We start from the raw sequence: 23,352 nt of genomic DNA, 5'->3' as shown, positions 1-23,352 counted from the left end.
GCCCTAATTCTAGTCAAATTCCATAGCGTTCTTCCTCTTTATTTTTATTTTTTTATTTTTGAGACGGAGTCTTGATCTGTCCCCCAGGCTGGAGTGCAGTGGTGTGATCTCGGATCACCGCAGCCTCCACCTCCTGGGTTCAAGCAAATCTCTGCCTCTGCCTCCTGAGTAGCTGGGATTACAGACACCTGCCACCATGCCCAGCAAATTTTTGTATTTTTAGTAGACACAGGATTTCATCATCTTGGCCGGGCTGGTCTTGAACTCCTGACCTTGTGATCCACCCACCTCGGCCTCCCAAAGTGCTGGGATTACAGGCGTGAGCCACCGCGCCCGGCCTGTATTAGATATTTTTAAGTCAGTTTCCTAAGACAATTAAATATTTCAGGTAGTTGGGACTTTTCTTTTTTTGGTTTGTTTTATTTTGCTTAATTTAACCATTTTAAATATGATTCTCTGGGAATTTTTTCTTCAAAATATAGAATATGTGTGCATTAGTTTGCTAGGCTTGCTGCAACAAAGTACCACAAACTGGGTGGCTTAGACAACAGAAATTTATTATCTCATAGATCTGGAGACTAGAAGTTCTAGATCACGTTGTTAGAGTTGGTTTCTTCGACAACTGTGAGAAACCTTATGTTCCATGCCTCTCCCCTGGCTTCTGGTGGTTTGCTGCTCATCTTTGGCATACTTTGGCTTGTAGGTGCATCACCTGGATCTCTGCCTTCATGTTCACATGGTGTTCTACCTGTGTGCATATCTGTGGACAAATTTCCCCTTTTTATAAGGATACCAGGCATATTGGATTAGGGTTCCTCTCTACTCCAGTAGGACCTCATCTTCACTAATTACATCTGCAATAACCCTTTCCAAATAAGGTCACATTCTGAGGAACTAGAGGTTAGAGTTTCAACATACGAAATTTTCTGGGGGGTGGGTAAGGGACACGATTCAATCCATAACAATATGTTTATGAGTAAATGAGTTAGTGTGTTATTGTCTTTCTGCCACCTCAGAATCTGAGAAAACAGTTTCTTTTTCCATTCCTTGGGCTGTAGGTGGAGAAGGAGGAGGATGATGATGGTGATTATTTTTTGGTCATGCCCCATAATGTGACCCACTTTAAAAAACAACAAACAATTGTAAGGAGGAGAACTGTCATACACCTACTGCCCAGCTTAAAAATAATTAGATCATCTTCTTTAAACATAACTGTCATCCCATCATCACACCTAAGAAGTTGACAGTTTCCCCAGTTTTTTTTTTCTCTTTTTTTTTTTTGAGATAGGGTCTTTCTCTGTTGCCCAGGCTGGAGTGCAGTGGCATGATAGTGGCTCATGGCAGCCTCATCTTCCCAGGCTCAAGGGATCCTCCCATATAGCTGGGACCACAGGGGTGCATCACCACATCCAATTTTTTGAATTTTTCTAGAGATGAGGTCTCCCTGTGTTGCCCCACCTAATTTTTTTTTTGTTGTTGTTCCATTCTTTTTTTTTTTTTCTCCTGTTTGTAAGGATTTAATCAAGGTCTGTATGTAGTTTGGTTACTATGTCTCTTAGGTCTCTTTTCTTTTATAGATTCCCCTCGTGATTTACTGAAGAAACGGGGTCATTTGTCCTGTAGAATTCTCAAATTTTGATTTTGCTGATATTATCCCCAGAGTGTCATTGACCATGTTCATCTGTTCCCCAAATTTCCAAAAACTGGTAGTTAAATTTAGGTGGTTGATCTGATTCAGATTACACTCTCAGTATCGCATATGCTTTGATCAGGAGGCATAATGTGTACTTGTGTGTGCGTATGTGTGTTTTTTTAGTGATGTTAGTGGTCACTGCCTGTGTCAGCATTTCACTACCAGGGTAATTTGGCAATGTCTGGAGACACACTGATTGTCACAGCTTGGGAGAGGGAATGCTATAGGTACCTTCAGGGGTAAGAGTCAGCACAGCACAGCACAGCCCCCTAACGCAAAGTATTAATAGGCCTAAAATGTCAGTAGCCCTGAGGTTGAGAAACTCTGGCCTACTTTTGTAGTTTCATCAGGTGTTTGTGAAATGGTTTTATTCTAACTGTTATTTCTTCTTTCTTTGTTAGCTGGAATTCTTTCATAAAGAGAAACTCTTTGATCAGTTAGTTACCCAAGGTACAGTTCATACAGAAAAGGCAGGATGTATGTTTGATTCTTTCCTAGTTTTCAAAATAATGAATTAGTTCCCTAGCATCTTCCAAAATTGACCAATGAACTTTGTGTGTGTTTTTTTCTTTTTTAGTATATTATGAACTTACACGTTTTAACATATTTGTGTTTCCTTTCATCGCAGTTATTTTTATTTTATTTTTATTTATTCATTTATTGTTTTGAGGCAGGGTCTTAACTCTGTCACCCAAGCTGTAGTGCAGTGGTATGATCGCTGCCCACTGCAGGCTTGACGTCCCGACCTCCAGCAATCCTCCCACCTCACCCTCTTGAGTAGCTGGGACCACAGGTACACCATCATGCCCAGCTAATTTTTGTGTTTCTGGTAGAGACGGGGTTTTGCCGTGTTCACCAGGCTGGTCTTCAAATCCTGAGCTCAAAAGCAATCCACCTGCCTCTGCCTCCCAAAGTGTTGGGATGATAGGCGTGAGCCACCGCACCTAGCAGTTATTTTTATTGGTGCTCGTTTTTTCCCTTCGTTGAATGCTGGGTGCAGTGAATGCTGGGTGCATCTTCATGTTGGGTTCTGAGTCCTTTTGACATGAGCACATTGTCTGGTGTTGTACGAGAGAGCAAAATAAGGAAACTGGTGTTCTATGCTTATCTTGTACATTTTCCCCACACTTGGAATCAGCCATTCCTCCAGGGAGTGCAGGTTCACAGTCTGGGCTCTAAGAGAATTATAAGGTCAATGTGGTCATCATCTTTTAGTATTAAGTCAGATATTCTAAATTATTATTTACTTCTTACATTTGGCCCAAGAGTTTAACCAGATATTTTGGGAAAGAGAGAAGGAATTAAATAAATAAATCTCATGGTTAGAACTGAAGTGATAACTATACTTTCACAAGGAAATATAACTTATAACCCATGCGGAATAGAAAATTATTTTTGCTCCTTTAGATTTCTGAAGGAATGAAATGAGCTGTGGGAAGAAACTTTAACTGGAGCATCTTACCAGTATTATTCATGTTTTAACTCTGCTTCAGTAGTTTTTCAGGTTTATTACAAACGTGCAGTAGCCAACTGAATTAATTATCTCTAAACAGGGATTTAGCCAGTGGACTAGGCACACTGAAGCTTTGTGAGAGGGGAAATTGATATTCACATTTTTTCCAGCTTGTTTTGAGCTCGATATATTCTTTTTTTTTTTTTTTTTTCATTGAGACAGACTCTCGCACCGTCACCTGGGCTGGTGTGCAGTGGCACGATCTCTGCTTGCGGCAACCTCTGCCTCCCAGGTTCAAGCAATTCTCCTGCCTCAGCCTCCCGAGTAGCTAGGATTACAGGCGCCCGCCACCACGCCCGGCTGATGTTTTGTATTTTTAGTAGAGACGGGGTTTCGCTTTATTGGCCAGGCTGGTCTTGAACTCCTGACCTCATGATCTGCCTGCCTCAGCCTCCCAAAGTGCTGGGATTACAGGCCTGAGCCACCATGCCCAGCCAATATATTCACATTTTTAATAGGAATAACAGTATACTAAAATCTTTTTTAGTGCATGTTTAAGATTTGAAGATGTAATTTGACTCAGTACTTTCCACTTGCATTTTTTTCTTCCACTTGCATTTCTCCACTATTAGAATAGTGCCTGCTAAGACTATTCTAATACTTTATTATAGTTAACCCCTGCGAAAAGAGCTCCCAGAGCTTACAGTGCATTTGATTGATGTCATATGGACTATTCATTATTTTCTAAATTATTTTGTTTGTATAGAGCAATCTGAAGAGGATGTAAGTCAGTTTGATTCCAAGTTTACACGTCAGACACCTGTCGACAGCCCAGATGACACAACTCTCAGTGAAAGTGCCAATCAGGTGTTTTTGGTAAGTGAAAGAATTTCCATGTAGTCATGGGAAATTTTAAGTATGAGGATGGGCTCTTCGATAAGAAAATTCAGTTTGCTTGCTTTGCAGCTCATGTAGGTAACCTGGCCCACTTTTTTTTTTAAATAAGCCATGCTCTTATAACTTATTGATACCTACAAAATTGATTTTCATAATCCAACATTTTATTTTAGCAATTAGAGTGGGAATGTACAATTCTTTGGAGAGTATGATTCCCTTTTTTGGTTGGGCCACAGACTTAAAATGATGTTTGGCTTAGCATCTCAACCAAAAATTAAGTCATAGCAGTGGGAGAGAAAAACCTCACTAACTACATGTATTTTATTTCTGAAACAGCTATAGATTTTTGGTACCTTTTTTTTTTTTTTTTTTTTTTTGAGACAGGGTCTCACCTTGTAGCCCAGGCTGGGTGTAGGGTGTAGTGGTGTGATCACAGTTCACTACAGCCTTGACCTCCCAGGCTCAAGTGATCCACCCATTTCAGCCTCGTGAGTACCTGGACTACAGGTGTGTGCCCCATCCAGCTAATTTTTTATTTTTTTGTAGAGACAGAGTCTCACTATTTTACTCCTGGACTCAAGCTATCTTCCCACCTCGGCTTCCCAAAGTGCCAAAATTATAGGCATGAGCCATCATTCCTGGCCCTATTTTTGGTACTCTTAACATAAGTAGGGGATTTTTTTTTTTTTTTTTTTTGAGACCGAGTCTCACTCTGTCGTCAGGCTGGGGTGCAGTGGCGCGATCTCAGCTCACTGCAACCTCTGCCTCCTGGGTTCAAGTGATTCTCCTGCCTCAGCCTCCTGAGTAGCTGGGACTACAGGTGCCTGCCACCACGCCCAGTTAATTTTTGTATTTTTAGTAGAGACAGGGCTTCACCATGTTGGCCAGGATGGTCTTGATTTCTTGACCTCATGATCCACCCGCCTTGGCCTCCCAAAGTGCTGGGATTACAGGCATGAGCCACTGCGCCCGGCCAAGTAGGGGATTTTTTAAACCTAATTGTGAATATTTGACATCAAATTATATTGGTTCATATGTAATAGTGAATTCTCGTTGTAGAAATATCCGTATAGATTTATAGCTTGTCTCCTCAGAAAAGTAAAGGTTTTAGATGTTGGCCAACAGAAATGATGGATTTATATCAGATGACCATCAATGCATACATACTATTTTGCTTAAATACCATATATGCTTGTTGATTTTATTACTGTACTTATATGTCACATGAACATCTTTCTCATTTTGTATCCTTTTTTTTCTTTTGTCGTTCCTGTATGGAATACCTCTAGGGAGAATAGAATATGGGGAAAACAATTGTTTGGGAGTGTTTTTTTCCCTCTTTTTGAGTTCACTGGATTTGTCACTAACTTAATTCTATGCTTTTCTTCCCCACACTGCTCACTATATAACACAAGTAGTGTTGTATCTTATGGGATGGGAAATAAGCTCTAAAGTTAGCATGGAGCTGGGACATGGTGGCTCAGGCCTATAACCTTGAGGTCAGGAGTTCGAGACCAGCCTGGCCCACATGGTGAAACCCCATCTCTACCAAAAATACAAAAATTAGCCGGGTGTGGTGGCATGTACCTGTGGTACCAACTACTTGGGAGGCTGAGGTAGGAGAATGACTTGAACCCGAGAGGCAGAGGTTGCAGGAGCCAAGATCGTGCCACTGCACTCCAGCCTGGGCAATAGAGTGAGTGAGACTCTGTATAAAAAAAAAATAATTAAAAAAATAAAGTTAGCATGGAATGCAAAAGTTGTGTATAGTACAGTATGGTTTCAAGTAAACAACACTGAATAGTAATAATCCTATAAATTAGTAATATAGAGCACGTAGGCAAAATATAATCTTACAGTATTAATTACATAAGAGATAAAAGATGAGTGAGTGCATGCATGTTTTTAAATTCAAGTTTGATGTGTGCATGATCAAAGTTACGGCATCTCTGTTAGTAAAATCTTAGGTTCACTCAGGGAAGTGGGCATGAATCACTTTAATTTTGGCTTTTTTTTTCTCTTTCATGTACTACTGATGTGGAATTTATACCTTTGATTTAACATAGAGACCTTTTCATCAATTGAACATTGCAGAATTTCAACTTATGTGACAGTTTCCCCCCACAAAATAGAAGCATTTTATTTAGCTACCAAGAAATCCTAAGTTGTGGTGGTAAATGTGAGCTATTGACGCTTTCATTGCCAGTTAAAAGTATTGTTGAGCTTTTCATAATTACTTAAATTGGCTATAACTGATGAACAGAGCAACTCATTTGTTAGGTTGTAGCCAGAATTCTGTACATAAAGTGGGTCTCTTGAAACATTAGTAAAAACAAAAATAGGCCAGGTGCAGTGGCTCATGCCTGTAATCCCAGCACTTTGGGAGGCTGAAGTGGGTGGATCACAAGGTCAGGAGTTCTAGAACAGCCTGGCCAATATGGTGAAACCCCATCTCTACTAAAAATACAAATATTAGCCAAGTGCGGTGGCACACGCCTGTAATTCCATCTACTCGGGAGGCTGAGGCAGGAGAATCACTTGAAACCAGGAGGTGGCAGTTGCAGTGAGCCAAGATCGTGCCAGTGCATTCCAGCCTGGGCAACAGAGCAAGGCTCTATCTCAAAAAAAAAAAAAAATTCCGCATACATAAGAAGAGAATATGCATTAAAAAAATCAGCAGAGCCTCACATTCCAGGATTTTCTACACAAGAAACCATTCCTAAAATATGTGCTTGGAATTACTAGGGTTTCTCTTGCAAACATTTTAATAACACCTCATTTGTTTTTTTTATTATAATATTTATTTAAGCAAAATTTCTTTTTTTTATTTTATTATTTTATTATTATTACACTTTAAGTTGTAGGGTACATGTGCACAATGTGCAGGTTAGTTACATATGTATACATGTGCCATGCTGGTGTGCTGCACCCATTAACTCGTCATTTAGCATTAGGTATATCTCCTAATGCTATCCCTCCCCCCTCCCCACACCCCGCAACAGTCCCCAGAGTGTGATGTTCCCCTTCCTGTGTCCATGTGTTCTCATTGTTCAATTCCCACCTATGAGTGAGAACATGCAGTAACACCTCATTCTTTAGGGGTGTGGTTATATGTGTCATGTTATTAGATCTTTACAGCAACTCTCCTGGGTAAAGCGGTTATTACTAGGTCATTTTATAGAAGGAAAAATAACCAGTACTTTTTTTTGCTTTACTTCAGTAGCTATTGCCTCCTTCAATTTGACATTTCAATCCTGGCACATAGTGGGGGCTCAACAAATATTTGCTGGAGGAATGCCATTTAAAATACAGTGATTGGATAGGAGAATATTTGAGGGCATTAACAATTTTTAAAAGCCAAAAAAAAATTACAATTGGACTTATGAGATTTTGATTTTTTTGTGTATTTTCTTTTAAAAAATAAGCTTCTCTAAGCTGGGCTTGGTGGCTCATGCCTGTAATCCCAGCACTTTGGGAGGCTGAGGCAGGTGGATCACCTGAGGTCAGGAGTTTGAGACCAGCCTGGCCAACATGGTGAAAACCCGTCTCTACTAAAAATACAAAAATTAGCTGGCCGTGGTGGCACACACCTGTAATCCCAGCTACTAGGGAGGCTGAGGCAGGAGAATCGCTTGAACCCGGGAGGCAGATGTTGCAGTGAGCCAAGATCACACCACTGTACTCCAGCCTGGGTGACAGAGCAAGACTCTGTCTCAAAAATAAATAAATAAAGTATATAAATAAATAAATAAGCTTCTGTTTTGGCTTCCTCCAATGTAGTCTCTTTGAGTAGGAAGAAATTGTTATGATTCAAACTAGTAAATTCTTTTTTTTTTTTTTTTTTTTTTGAGATGGAGTCTTGCTCTTATTGCCCAGGCTGGAGTGCAGTGGCGTGATCTTGGCTCACTGCAACCGGCTCACTTGAACCGGGTTCAAGTGATTCTCCTGCCTCAGCCTCCCAAGTAGGTGGGATTACAGGTGCCTGCCATCACGCCTGGCTAATTTTTGTAGTTTTAGTACAGATGGGGTTTCACCATCTTGGCCAGGCTGGTCTTGAACTCCTGGTCTTGATCTGCTGACCTATATCCGCCCGCCTCGGCCTCCCAAAGTGCTGGGATTACAGGTGTGAGCCATTGCGCCCGGCCGACAGGTAAATTCTTATATCAAAAAACTGAGTTAGACTTGGTCCCTGGAGCTGTTTTCCATCCCTAAAAAGATGATGTCAAGCTATCATGTATAATAAATAACAACTCAATTGACCACATATTTTCCTTTAAGCCTAATGATGAAATAATATTATAATGAAATACTTAGAAGTTTTAAGGGAAAAAATCCTTTAAGTCATTAAATTAAAATTGAAACCAAAACAATAACTTCACTGTTTTAGGATAAAATTGGCATATGAAAGGTTTGATAGTGAACGACAGTAAGATTAACCTACTACAGCATTTGCCTTTAGCTTTTACTGAGTAATACTTGGAGCTATATATTTATAGCATTTGCTATAAATGTGCAAATGAAGACATTATTTATTGTATTACTGCTGAGATTAATATTGTCTTTTTCAGATTTCTAAAACATTACAGCAAATGCGCACATGAGGGCGCTCTAATCAGCTAGATGTGGAGAGGGTAGGCATTTGTTGACTGTTAAGTCAAAACTAGTTCTATACTTTTACAGATGGAAAAATCAAGGTCCACCAAAGAGGTTATGATTCTACACGAGTTATTCTCTAGAGGAAACAAATTGGGTATTAGAATTTTGAAAAGATTAAACAGAAATCCCTGTCAGTGAATTTATGCTGGAGAATTTTGACTTTTATCCTAGCAACTCCTTATTGAAAATCTTTACCCATGCCATGATATAATTTATCTTCAATCTTAAATGGGTTTGGTAATAGTGTTTATAAGATGTAGGAGAGTTAATTAGAATATTTATTTTTATGAACTTTTGCTTTATAAAATTAACAAATGTTAATTGTGCTTCATTTATACTTTTTTTTTTTTTTTGAGACAGAGTCTTACTCTGTCACCCAGGCTGGAGTGCAGTGGCGTGATCTCAGCTCACTGCAACCTCTGCCTCCCAGGTTCAAGCGATTCTCCTGCCTCAGCCTCCCAAGTAGCTGGGACCACAGGCACGTGCCACCACGCCTGGCTAATTTTGGTACTTTTAGTAGAGACGGGGTTTCACCATGTTGGCCAGGGTGGTCTCGAACTCCTGACCTCAAGTGATCTGCCCGTCTTGGCCTCCCAAAGTGCTAGGATTACAGGTGTGAGCCACCAACACCTGGCCCATTTATACTTAAGGCTGATTCTCAACTGATTTGGGTAAGATCCTTAGTCTTTCCCCATCTCTGACGTAATTCCTAGTTTGTCCTTTGGCTTTCCTGTGTATATAAAGCTACCAGGCTGCTTGCAGATTTTTCGGGGAATAAGTCCCATAAACACTCACAAAGATTTTATTAGGGAGAAGCTATGATGCGAATATAGAATGTAGATTTTTTAAATTTCAAAATCAGTATGGGCCGGGCGCGGTGGCTCACGCCTGTAATCCCAGCACCTTGGGAGGTCGAGGCGGGCGGATCACGAGGTCAGCAGAGCGAGACCATCCTGGTTAACACGGTGAAACCCCGTCTCTACTAAAAATACAAAAAATTAGTGGGCGCAGTGGCAGGCGCCTGTAGTCCCAGCTACTCGGGAGGCTGAGGCAGGAGAATGGCGTGAACGCGGGAGGCGGAGCTTGCAGTGAGCGGAGATCGCGCCACTGCACTCCAGCCTGGGCGACAGAGCGAAGACTCCATCTCAAAAAAAAAAAATCAGTATGTAGAGCTGGGCATGGTGGTGTGTGCCTATTAGCCCAGCCACTGGGGAGGCTGAGGCAGGAGAAGCCCTTGAGCCCAAGAGTTCAAGACTAGCCTGGGCAACACAGCGAGACCCTCATCTCGAAAAATAAATAAATAAATAAATAAATAAAGTATTGCAATATTTATTATATAGGCAAATTTTTTTCAACTTAAGTGCTACCCTCATCAGGGGAAGATTTGTTTGATTAGATCCCCACACAGGCTGGCCGCTTCCTCATTTCTACTTTTTCTTTTCTTTTTGAGATGGAGTTTTGCTCTTGTTGCCCAGGCTGGAGTGCAATGGCGCAATCTTGGCTCACTGCAACCTCCGCCTCCCGGGTTCAAGCGATTCTCCTGCCTCAGCCTCCCGAGTAGCTGGGATTACAGGCACCTGCCACCACACCCGGCTAATGTTTGTATTTTTAGTAGAGATGGGGTTTCACCATGTTGGCCAGATTGGTCTCAAACTCTTCAGTTCAAGCGATCTACCTGCCTCGGCCTCACAAAGTGCTGGAATTACAGGTGTGAGCCACTGCGCCCGGCCTCATTTCTACGTTTTCAAAGAAGTCAATTTTCTTTAAAAAATAAACTCTTTTGGCCACGCGGCGGCTCATTCCTGTAACCCTAGCACTTTGAGACTCAGAGGCAGACGGATCGCTTGAACTCAGGAGTTCAAGACCAGCCTGGCCAACACGGTGAAACCCTGTCTCTACAAAAAATTAGCTGGATGCAGCGGCACGTGCCTGTAGTCCCAGCTACTCAGGAGGCTGAGGCAAGAGAGTCACTTGAGTCCAGGAGGCAGAAGTTGCAGTGAACTGAGATCACGCCATTGCACTCCAGCCTGGCTGATGGGAGTGAAACCTTGTCTCAAATAAATAAATAAATAAACTCTTATTTTTAAAAAAAAAAAAGCAAATCATGAAACAAAACAAAACCCAGGGCTCTGAATGAAAAAGATCTCTCCTTTAGGGGGCTAGGTGATGGAAAGGAAAATAGGTCATGAATTTCATGTTCTCATTTGTCTTCGTTAATGACTTGTATGTATATATATTTCCATTGAAGACATAGATATGCATTTGATCACCTACACTTGTTTGTATTTTGAGTCATAAATTAAGGCATTTCCTGTCCAGAAAGCACCTGACAATCTTATGATAAAAAACATGGAATTTTAAAATCACAAATGCAAATAACAAGCCAGGCACAGTGGCTCACGCCTGTAATCTTAGCTCTTTGGGAGACCAAGGTGGGTAGATTGTTTGAGCTCAAGAGTTTGAGACCAGCCTGGGTAACATGGAGAAACCCTGTCTTTACAAAAAATAAAAAATTAGTGGGGCACGGTGGCATGTGCCTGTAGTCCCAGATACTCAGGAGGCTAAGGTGGGAGGAGTACTTGAGCTCAGGAGGTCGAGGCTGCTGTGAGCTGTGGTGGCAACACTGCACTCCAGCCTGGGTGACAGAGTGAGACCCTATCTCAAAAAAAAAAGGAGTGCAAATAACAGATGACCTTACAAACATCAAAAGTTATGTCTTTATAATAAGTTTTGTCTACATTTAATGAAATATATTGGACAAGGAAAAAATGTAGCAGTATGCGTATGGCTTTATCTTGGCCCTGCCCACTACTGTGCCCTCATTTCTTTTCCTTCCCACTGAGTCCTTCCACACTACCACACCACAGCAAACCTGACAAGCTTCTGCCTGAAATAGCACCATTGCACTTCTCTTCCCTTTGCCTGAAACATTCTTTTTTTTCTTTTTTCTTTCTTTCTTTTTTTTTTTTTATGAGATGGAGCCTCACTCTCTCGCCAGACTGGAGTGCAGTGGCACGATCTCAGCTCACTGCAACCTCCACCTCCCTGGTTCAAGCGATTCTCCTGCCTCAGCCTCCCGAGTAGCTGGGATTACAGGTATGCACCACCATGCCCGGCTAATTTTGTATTTTTAGTAGAGACGGGGTTTCTCCATGTTGGTCAGGCTAGTCTCGAACTCCCGACCTCAGGTGATCCGCCCGCCTCGGCCTCTCAAAGTGCTGGGATTACAGGCGTGAGCCCCTGTGCCTGGCCACCACAATCAATTTTAGAATATTTTCATTTCTCTCAAAAAAAAATACCATACCTATGAGCAGTCACTCCCCATTTCCTCCATCCCTCAGTCCTAGGCAACCACTAATTTACTTTCTTTTAGGATAGGATTTGCCTATTTGGACATTTCATATAAATGGAACCATACAATTTGTGATCTTTTGTGACTGGCTTTTTTCAAGTAACCTAATGTTTTCAAGGTTCATTCATGTTATAGCATGTGTCAGTACTTATTTCCTTTTTTTTTATGGCTCAATAATATTCTGTTGTAGGAATATAACACATTTCATTTATCTGTTTATCACTTTTTTTTTTTTTTTTTTGAGATGGAGTCTCAGTCTGTCACTCAGGCTGGAGTACGGTGGTGTGATCTTGGCTCACTGCGGCCTCCGCCTCCTGGATTCAAGCCATTCACCTGCCTCAGCCTCCCAAGTAGCTGGGATTACAGGCACGTATACCATGTCCCGCTGATTTTTGTATTTTCAGTAGAGATCGGATTTCACTCTGTTGGCCAGGCTGGTCTCGAACTCCTGACCTCAAGCAATCCTCCCGCCTTGGCCTCCCAAAGTGTTGGGAGCCACCACACCCAGCTGTCTCCACTTTTTGACTATTATGAATAATGCTGCTATGAACATTCATGTGTAAGTTTTTGTGTGGACATATGTTTTCCTTTCCCTTGGGAATATGATGAAGCCTGGCATTGCCAGGTCATATGATAACTCTATGTTTAAGCTTTGGAGGAACTGCCAGACTATTTCCAAAGCAGTTCCAACTTCATTGCAAAGCATTTTACATTCCCTCCAGCAACATATGAGTGTTTCAATTTTTCCACATTTTCTCCAACACTTGTTATTATGTGTCTGTTTATTATAGCCATTCTTGTGAGTGTGAAGTGGTATCTTAACATGGTTTGGATTTGCACTTCCCTGATGGCTAATGATGTTTCTATGGTTTGAATGTTGGAGTCCTCCAAAATTCATGTTATAACCTAAGACCTAATGTGACGATGTTAAGAAGTGAGGCCTTCAAGGTGGTGATTAGGTCATGAGGGCTCTGCCCTCGTGAATGAAATTAATGCCCTTATAAAAAGGCTTCACATAACATTTCTTCTTCTTTTTTCCTTTCTTCTCCTGCCATGTGAAGATGCCACTGCGAGAACGGGAACAATGGAACAGGCCCTCACCAAATGCCAAATGTGCTATCACCTTGATTTTGGATTTCCCAGCCTCCGGAACTGTGAGGAATAAATTTTTTTACTTATAAATTACTTAGTCTCAGGTATTTTGTTACAGCAGCACAAACAGACTAAGACAGAAATTGAGTGTATTTTCTTGTGCTTATTGGCCATTTATTTTCTTTCTTTTATTTTTATTTACTTATTTATTTTTAGGTGGGGTTTTGCTCTGTTGCCCAGGCTGGAGTGCAGTGGTGCAATCTTAGCTCATTGCAACCTCTGCCTCCCGGGTTCGAGTGATTCTTGTGCCTCATCTGCCTGAGTACCTGGGACTACAGGCATGCGCCACAACGCCTGGCTGATTTTTATATTTTTAGTAGAGATGGGTTTTCGCCATGTTGGCCAGACTGGTCTTGAACTTCTGGCCTCAAGTGATCCACCTGCCTTGGCCTCCCAAAGTGTTGGGATTATAGGCATAAGCCACCACCTGGCCCTTATTGGCCATTTGTATGTCTTCTTTGGAGAAATATCTGTTCAGATCTTTTGTCCATTTTAAAATTGGGTTATATCCTTTTTATTATCAAGTTGTAAGAGTTCTTTATGTATTCTAGATCCAAGTCCATTGTCAGATACTGTAGTCTCCCGTATGCTCTCTGCAGTTTCAGTTACCTGCGGGCAGCTGCAATCCCAAATATTACAGTATTTTGAGACAGAGAAAACTATTCATGTAACTTATGTTAAAGTATATTCTAGCCAGGCACAGTGGCTCACACCTGTAATCCCAGCACTTTGGGAGGCCGAGGTGGGTGGATCACAAGGTCAGGAATTGGAGACCAGCCTGGCCAATATGGTGAAACCCTGCCTCTACTAAAGATACAAAAATTAGCCGGGCGTGGTGGCAGGTGCCTGTAGGCCCAGCTACTCGGGAGGCTGAGGCAGGAGAATCGCTTGAACCTGGGAGGTGGAAGTTGCAGTGAGCCGAGATGGCGCCATGGCACTCCAGCCTGGGTGACAGAGCAAGACTCCATCTCAAAAACAAAAAGTATATTCTAATTGTTCTCTTTTATTATTAGTTATTGTTGTTATTCTATTACAGTGCCTAATTTATAAATTAAACTTCATCATAGGTATGTATGTATGTATAGGAAAAAAACATAGTACATATAGAGTTTGGTACTATCTGCAGTTTCAGGTATACACTGGAGGTCTTGGAACATATTTTGTTACATATATATCTATATATTTATAAATATATATTTATATATAGCTATATATTTATGTATCTATGTATCTATAAATATATGTTTATATATCTATATTAATCTATATCTATATATGAATATATAGGTAGATAGATAAATATATACATATATATATATATATATTTTTTTTTTTTTGAGATAAGGTCTCGGTCTATCGCCCAGGCTGGGATACATTAATGTTATCTTGGCTCACTGCAGCCTCAACCTCCTGGGGTCACGTGATTCTCCCACCTCAACCTCCCAAGTAGCTGGGACCACAGGCACATGTCACCACATCTGGGTAATTTTATTTATTTATTGTAGAGATAGGGTATCCCTATGTTGCCCAGGTTAGTCTTGAGCTCCTGGGCTCAAGTGATCCTCCCACCTCAGCTTTCCAAAGTTCTGGGATTACAGGCATGAGCCACTGTGTCTGGCTACATATTTTCCACAAATAAAGTGAGCCTACTTTGTACATAATTTGCAAGTATTTTCTCCCATTCTGTGGGTTGTCTTTCACTTTTTTTTTCTGGAGTCCTCCAAAATTCATGTTATAACCTAAGACCTAATGTGATGATGTTAAGAAGTGAGGCTTTCAAGGTGGTGATTAGGTCATGAGTGCTCTGCCCTCGTGAATGAAATTAATGTGCTTATAAAAAGGCTTCACATAGCATTTCTTCTCCTTTTTTTGCCTCAGCCTCCTGAGTAGCTGGGATTACAGACGTGTACTACCATGCATGGCTAACTTTTGTATTTTTAGTAGAGACAGGGTTTCACCATGTTGGCCAGGCTGGTCTCGAACTCCTAACCTCAGGTGATCGGCCCGCCTCGGTCTCACAAAGTGCGGGGATTGCGGGCGTGAGCCACCATGCCCGGCACATGCATCAGTTTTTATGCTTCCTTGCTTGGACTGATTAACCAGTCAACTACTGGTTCCAATAAAGTTGGATGAGGTGGCTTATACTCTACTTATTTGCCGCCCCTGCTTCTTCCTTTTTTTTGAGACAGGGCCTTTGACGCGCTGGCTGGAGTGCCGTGGTGTCATCTTGGCTCACTGCAGCCTCAACTTCCTGGGCTCAAGCAGTCTTCCCACCTCAGCCTCTAAGTAGCTGGAACTACAGATGTGTGCCCCTATGCCTGGCTAATTTTTGTATTTTTGTCGAGACGGGCTCTCCCCATGTTGCCCAGGCTGGTCTCCAACTCCTGGGCTCAAGAGATCCGCCCACCTTGGCCTCCCAAAGCCCTGGGATTGCAGACATGAGCCACTCTGCCTGGCAACTTGTAACAGTCCTTTGTATGTTCTTGATACAAGTCAGTTGTCAGATACAGCGGTAGTACATAATTAAACATAATTATATAGAACTATATTTTATATAAGCGCAGCATTATATAAAACAGCAAAAATTTGGAAATAACCAAATGTCCAACAATAGGTAGTTAGCTAAGTAAATTGTGAAACATCCATGTAACGAAAGGTATACAACTATAAAAAATGATCTAGACCTATTTATACTGACATTGACAGATGTCTAACATAAATTACATGAAAATAGGAAGTGACAGAGAAGAGAGTATGGTATAATCTCATTTACATTAAAGTAATCAAAAAAACCAGCTTATATAATAGATACAGGCTGGGCAGGATGGCTCACGCCTGTAATCCCAGCACTTTGGGAGGTCAGGGCAGGAGGATCACTTAAGCCTAGGAGTTCAAGATCAGGCTGGGCAACATACCCAGACCCCATATCTACAAAAAGTTTAAAAATTAGCCAAGTGAGCTACGATCACGCCACTGCACTCCAGGCTTGGGGACAGAGCAAGACTGTCTCTAATAAAATAAAACAAAATAAAATAAAATAGGCTGGGCATGGCAGCTCATGCTGTAAAAGTGCTGTAATCCCGGCACTTTGGGAGGCTGGGGCAGGTGGATCACCTGAGGTCAGGAGTTCAAGACCAGCCTGGCCAACATGGTGAAACCTCGTCTGTACTAAAAATACAAAAATTAGCTAGGCATGGTGGTGCACATCTGTAATCCCAGCCACTCGGGAGGCTGAGGCAGAAGAATTGCTTGAACCTGGGAGGTGGAGGTCACAGTGAGCTGAGACTGCACCATTGCACTCCAGCCTGGGTGACAGAGTGAAACTCTGTCTCAAAAATTAAAATAAAATAAAGTAAAATAAAATATAATAGATATAGCTACATATGTGTGAAAAGGACAATAACATTAAATTATGAGTGTTTTCTGTCCTCCCTTGGGGGACCTTTCTAAATAAATAGGAGTATACTCTAAAATAATGATTAAAGGTTTAGTATAGTAAATGACTACATAAAAAAAGCAGAAAGCAAAAACAAGTAAATGGCTACAATGTCACTAGGCAATAGGAATTTTTCAGCTCTACTATTATCTTATGGGATCACAGTTGTGTATGCAGTCCATCGTTAACCAAAACATCATCATGCAGCACAGGACTGTATAGGTATGTATAACATGGACAGAAACAGACATCTCAGAAAAAGCAAGATACAAAATTGTATGTACATTATGATTAAAACAATACTAAACACTAATTTGATAAAAGAGTAACAGCAAATAATTAACTGTGTTTGGTGATGAGATCATTAGTGAAATTTTCTCCCTTTATCTTCCAATCTCTTAGTAATCTTGTATATTGTTTTTTGTAATATTTAAATAAGTTTTACAAGAGTGCTGTTGGTGGCTGGTAGTTGATATTCCTGTTTGTCTTTGTTTATGAAGCTCCCTCCTTCTCTGTGGATACCACGCTTCTTCTTACCCTGTATATCTATAACCAACTGTGAGAGAGTTTTTAATGTTTTGACAAAAATTTTTAAAGGTCCAACAGAACAATCACAATTTTTTCCACTGATTACTATGATCCCTTTGAATAGTCTTAGCTTGCATGGTCATTTTTACAGTCCCATACTACTATGCAAACTGAGAAATGACTACATATAACATAGATTTACTCTCTATCTTAGTAATTTTAATCTTTATCATTGAGTGCTTAAAGGAACGTCTACAAGGCACCATAAACCATACAGCAGAATGTTAGAATTTTCACTATAAAACCAAACACGTCATATATGCACACCCATGAAGTGTACAAACAATACATACTAAGTTATCTCTTAACACTATTTTTCCTTTTTCTGGTGTTTTGTTGTTGTTTGTTTGTTTTTGAGACAGAGTCTCGCTCTGTCGCCCAGGCTGGAGTGCAGTGGCACGATCTTGGCTCACTGCAACCTCCGCCTCCTGGGTTCAAGTGATTCTCCTGCCTCAGTCTCCCCAAGTAGCTGGGACTACAGGTGCATGCCACCATGCCCAGCTAATTTTTATTGTATTTTTAGTAGAGACGAGGTTTCACCATGTTGGCCAGGGTGGTCTCAAACTCTTGACCTCAGGTGATCTGCCTATCTCAGCCTCCCAAAGTGCTCAGATTACAGGGGTGAGCCACTATGCCCGGCCAAATCTTTAATTTCTAAACTAATTTGGAAAGACAGAAAAATTCGTATCTTCCTATGTATGTAATCAAAAAATAGTAGTCAAAATATTCATTGCATTTTCACTGTCACTCAATCTTTTGCCAATCATAATCTATTTTTTTTTAGTTTTTATTTTTAGAGACGGGGTCTCATTCCTGTCGCCCAGGCTGGAATGCAGTGGCACAATCATGGCTCACTGCAGCCTCAAATTTCTGGACTCAAGAAATCCTCCAGTCTAAGCTTCCCAAGGAGCTGAGATTACAAATGCGAGCCACTGAGCCCAACTATAATCCGATTTTTTATTTGTATATCTAATTATTATATAATTTTATATATAATTGCACAATATATATTTTATGAAAAGTAACGGTTTCTAAGATGAAGAAAATCTAACCCCTTCCATGAGTTCCAGTATCTTATTATAACTACACTAAGCTACAATAATAGCTTAATATTAAACATTAATGTTTCTTCGACCTAAGGAAGCTGATTTTTAAAAATAATAAATATTAATTTTAAACACAGTATTAAAGTATTAATAATCAAACAAAGCCACGCAGTGAAACGACATTTGAATTTTGGGAAATTTTCTTTTTTTTTCCTTTTCTTTTTTTTTTGAGACAGAGTCTCACTCTGTCGCTCAGGCTAGAGTGCAGTGAGGAAATCTTGGCTCATTGCAACCTCCACCTCCCAGATTCAAGCAATTCTCCTGCCTTAGCCTCCCAGGTAGCTGGGATTACAGGTGCCTGCCATCACGCCCAGCTAATTTTTGTATTTTTAGTAGACAGGGTTTCACCATGTTGGCCAGGCTGGTCTCGAACTCCTGACTTCAAGTGATCCGCCCGACTCCACCTCCCAAAGTGCTGGGATTACAGGTTGAGCCACCACACCTGGTAAGAATGTTGGGAAAATTTTTTCATACTAACACATTGGCATATCAGTTATCAGTTGGATAAAAGTTTTCTTCCATATAGGAAGTTATAAAATGCCACTGCCCAGAGACAAAATCTTCTGAAGAGTTATTAGATGAATGGCTGACAACATCGAATAAAAATGCACAAAGAACATTGCCATAATAAACTTTTGATATCCAAAGGGCTACATTTGAGGGGTTATATACCTAAAAGAAACCTCTTTCGGCCAATATTTACATCCCCCTTAAACTCACCTACTACTCTCTCTCTATATATGCCCATTAAGATAGGATATCTTTTGAGAACCTGCCTCCAGAAATAAAGTCTTTAAAAAGTTTGGGCCAGGCACGTGGTTCACGCCTGTAATCCCAGCACTTTGGGAGGCCAAGGCAGGAGGATCTCTTGAGGCCAAGAGTTTGAGAACAGCTTGGGCAACACAGCAAGACCTCATCTCTGCAAAAAATAATAAAAATAATTTTTAAAAGTTTAAAAATATAGCATTTCATTTTAAAAAGTGCCTAGAAAAGCAGAAGATTTTAAAACATATAAATGTCACTTGCATCACTAAATACCCCCTTAACCTTCAAACAGTCTCTACTCCAATAACACACATAACAAATAAACCCTAGGCCCTTACAGCAATTGGGTTAAGAAAGGTTAAATTTCAGAATGCATAAAGATAGGAGGCATTTCTCATTCTTATGGTAGAGACTACATGCTGTCGTCTGTGTACATGCTTACAATAATAAAGGCCAACCTTTTATTAATGTTTGCTAATAAATATCCTCCTGATTTTCCATTCCAGCTAAGATTTGATAATATAATTGACTCTTCTGTGTTTTCATCACAAGCAGCACTGTTACAGATATCATTTCCTCTTAATTTATCCACAGGCTGTGTGAATAATTTAGAAAATTATTTTCGAAGGACTCTATCTAGGGAAGTCTTTTGGGTTTTAGAGTAGGGTTCTTTCTGGTTTTCTGCAGCTGTGGGGTCACTCCATCAGAATTTCATGGTTATATCCTTTGCGCAATCTGTAACATTGTTTAAGTTCAAAACTACATACATTATTTCATCAAAATTAAAAACTTTTGGGCATTAAAAGATCCTATCAAGACCATGAAAGACAATCTACAGATATTAATATATCTGTAACCCACAGAAGTATTTGGGAGAAAATATTTGTAAATCATATATCTGATGTGAGAATAATATCCAGAATGTATAAAGAACTACAGAACTACAACTCAACAACAAAAAAGCGCACATCTCAATTCAAAAATGGGCAAAGGATTGAACAGACATTTCTCCAAAGAAGACATACAAATGACCAATAGCACATAAAAAAATGCTCATTAGCACTAGCCATTAGGAAGCTAAAAATCAAAATGACAATACTATGTCACACCCATTAGGATGGTTATTAATTGAAAGAAAACAGAAAATAACAAGTATTGGGTAGATATGGAGAAAATGGAAGGAGCACTTGTGCATTGCTGGTAGAAATATAAAATGGTACAGAAGCCGTGGAAACCAGGTTAGCTGTTCCTTAAAAGGTTAAATATAGAATTACCATATGACCCAGCAATTCCATTCCTAGGTTTATATCCAAAAGAAGTGAAAGCAGGACTCAGATAGATATTTGCACACCAGTGTTCACAGCAACATTATTCACAATAGCCAAAAGGTGGAAACAACCCAAATATGTCCCATCAACAGATGGATGTATAAACAAGATGTAGTATATACAAATTATTCAGTCAAAAAAAGAAATTAAATTCTGCTATGTACTACAACATGGATAAACCTTGAAAACATTATCCTAAGTGAAATAAGAAAGGTCAAATATTGTTTGATTCTATTTCCATGAAGTGTCTAGAATAGGCAAATTCATAAAAAGAGAAAGTAGAATAGAGGTTACCAGGGGCTGGGGAAGAAAAGGGATAGAGAATTTCTGTTTGGGATGATGAACAAGTTCTGGAAATGGACAGTGGTGATGGTTATACAATATTGTGAATGTACTTCATGCCACTAATTGTACACTTTTTAAAATAGTTCAAATGGTAAATGGTATGTTTTATATATATATATATATAACCACCATAAAAATAAAATAAATTGCCAAAGCCAGGAGAAGGTGGGGGAGAGCTATGTACATACCCGAGTTTGTGAAGATCAGACAAAGATTCACATGAACTATTTTGAAAGTCTTTTACAATAATCCTAGTAAGACATAGCTGAAAACATAATACTGATCATGACTAAGCCATAATCCTATTACAGTGGAAATCATAATTTAGTACAATTTTTTGCTTTCTCAAAGATATGAGAAAAGCTGCATACATGTATTTATATACCAGAAAAATATACCTTTTAGTAAGGGTTTTACAGCAATGCAAATGTCAAAGTAGCACTGGCCTAAATTGAGGCAAATAGTTTTTTAACTAGTAGGCGATAACTGTGAAGGACTTAGTAAATGTGAAAACTTTGAAAAGCTGAAAAATCCACCTCTAGTATTTTGACTTCGCTGACATAGGGAAATGCACAAACATCTACTACATTCCAGATTTAGGGACTCAGGATACTAAGATAAACAGAAAAAGTCTACCCTTTCAAAAGTTTAGCTTATCTCTGCCAGGATCACAAGAGGCACTAGTGAAGAACAGACATTTTGGGGGCATTTTCAAATTCTCAAACTGACACAAATACATGAGATGCGCAAAAGTCTTCTAAATTACAGTGTAACCTACAATTGTCTATCTTCTAATAAATTCTTCTAACACATAGAGAACTTCTGTGTAGTGCAGTTTTCTGAGACCTGTAATTATAAACTTCAGTTACATTGCTATAAACTTCCAAATTGGGAGTTTGAAATATGAGCCACATGTTACTTAACGTTCAGAAGACGTATAAATGAGAGCAAAAGGTTATGGCTTAACAGAAAACTAAATAAGAAATAACTATTGATTGTTAAATAGCAACATATCACAATCATAGACACACCAATGACTGTAACCATATGGTTCTTCTCTCAATCATCAAGCATATGCTAAATTTGTACTTAAAACGGTCCAATGTGACTTTAAAAAAAGGTTACTCTTCAAGCAGCTTTCAATCTAGTTGGGAGAGTAAATTACTACACATAAAACGTGTTATTTATGTACATATATATGTAAAAATACTCAAATACAAAGGATCCAAATGTAAGAATTCAAAGGAGATAAGTTAGTTCAGGAAAGCTCCAAAGAAGGTAAGATTTAGGCAAAGTCCAGAAGGATAGACAGAATTGAATGGAAATGAACCCTTCATAATCTAACTTCATCTTGCCTTTCCAACACATTGTACAATACAAAATTATTAGAATAGATAAAAGCAGTCTATGGCCATACCAACCTGAACATGCTGATCTCATCTGATCTCAGAATAAAAACAAATTAGAAAAGAAGCTGAGTGCAGTGGCTCACGCCTGTAATCCCAACACTTTGGGAGGTTGCGGTGGGTGGATCTCTTGAGCTCAGGAGTTCAAGACCAGCCGGGGCAACATAGCAAAACCCCGTCTCTACAAAAAAACACAAAAATTAGCAGGGCATAGTGGTGCACACCTGTAGTCCTAGCTGCTAGGGAAGCTGAAATAGGAGGATGGCTTGACCCTGGGGAGTTGAGGCTGCAGTGAGCAGTAAATGTGCCACTGCACTCCAGCCTGGGTGGCATAAAAAAGTCGTTCCAGATAAGAGAAATCACAGAAATATGGAATAAGAAGAGCATACTAATTAGCCCACTTAATGCTTATTGTAGAGAAGTGGTTAAATATTTTACATAGGAATACACATGTCAAATTATATAAATCATATGGGAGAAAAAACGCTCCAAAAATTACATGGAATTTTGACATGACTTTCCAATGTACCCTATTCATACCCACTACTCATTTGCTATTTGAGAGAAATGTCTCAGAACCAGTCAGACCAAGGCTCACCTTCAAAACCAGGTGGGCACCCAAATTATAACAAGAATTAGAAATTTGTGTTTGTCCTTGCATATAAGGCTGTGTTTCATTTTTCCTTCATATTTACTACTGATTGCTTCATGAATTCAGATAATTTCAGAGCCAGGAGGCATTATTTATAACCCAAATTTTAAATGTTTATATTCCTGAAACATTTGAATATTTGCATAAATGTCATGAGACAAACAAAATTTACTCTGTAGAAAGCACAATTTACCAGATTATTACTGCTAGTTTTATTCTGTCAGCTCTCTCCTTTAAGGAGAAAGCACAGCACTAGGTAGTCCCATTTATTACATCAACATTTTAATAAGGCCAGGCACTGTAGCCCATACCTGTAATCCCAGCACTTTGAGAGGTTAAGGCCAGAAGATTGCCTGAGTTCAGGAGTTCAAGACCAGCCTGGGAAACAACAGTGAGATTCCCATTACTACAACAAAATAAAAAAATTAGCCAGGTGTGGTCCGCACATCTGGAGTCCCAGATACTTGGGAGGCTGAGATGGAAGGATTGCATGAGCGCAGGAAGTAGAGGCTGCAGTGAGCCA

General features: G+C 39.9%; 1 long non-coding RNA gene and 1 pseudogene across 1 annotated transcript; both read left to right on the top strand.

Annotated features, from left to right (window-relative positions):
• The first annotated feature begins 764 nt into the window (after positions 1-764).
• Positions 765-13,237, top strand: LOC102723933 (uncharacterized). Its single transcript, XR_429960.3, has 3 exons — positions 765-900; positions 3,915-4,022; positions 13,113-13,237. It is a non-coding gene; the product is annotated as an uncharacterized LOC102723933 (long non-coding RNA).
• On the top strand, positions 22,175-22,261 carry RNA5SP526 (RNA, 5S ribosomal pseudogene 526; annotated as a pseudogene).

Source organism: Homo sapiens, chromosome 17 (genome assembly GCF_000001405.40).
Source record: "Homo sapiens chromosome 17, GRCh38.p14 Primary Assembly".
Taxonomy (NCBI): Eukaryota; Metazoa; Chordata; class Mammalia; order Primates; family Hominidae; genus Homo; species Homo sapiens.
This window is presented reverse-complemented; position numbering and strand designations above follow the sequence as displayed.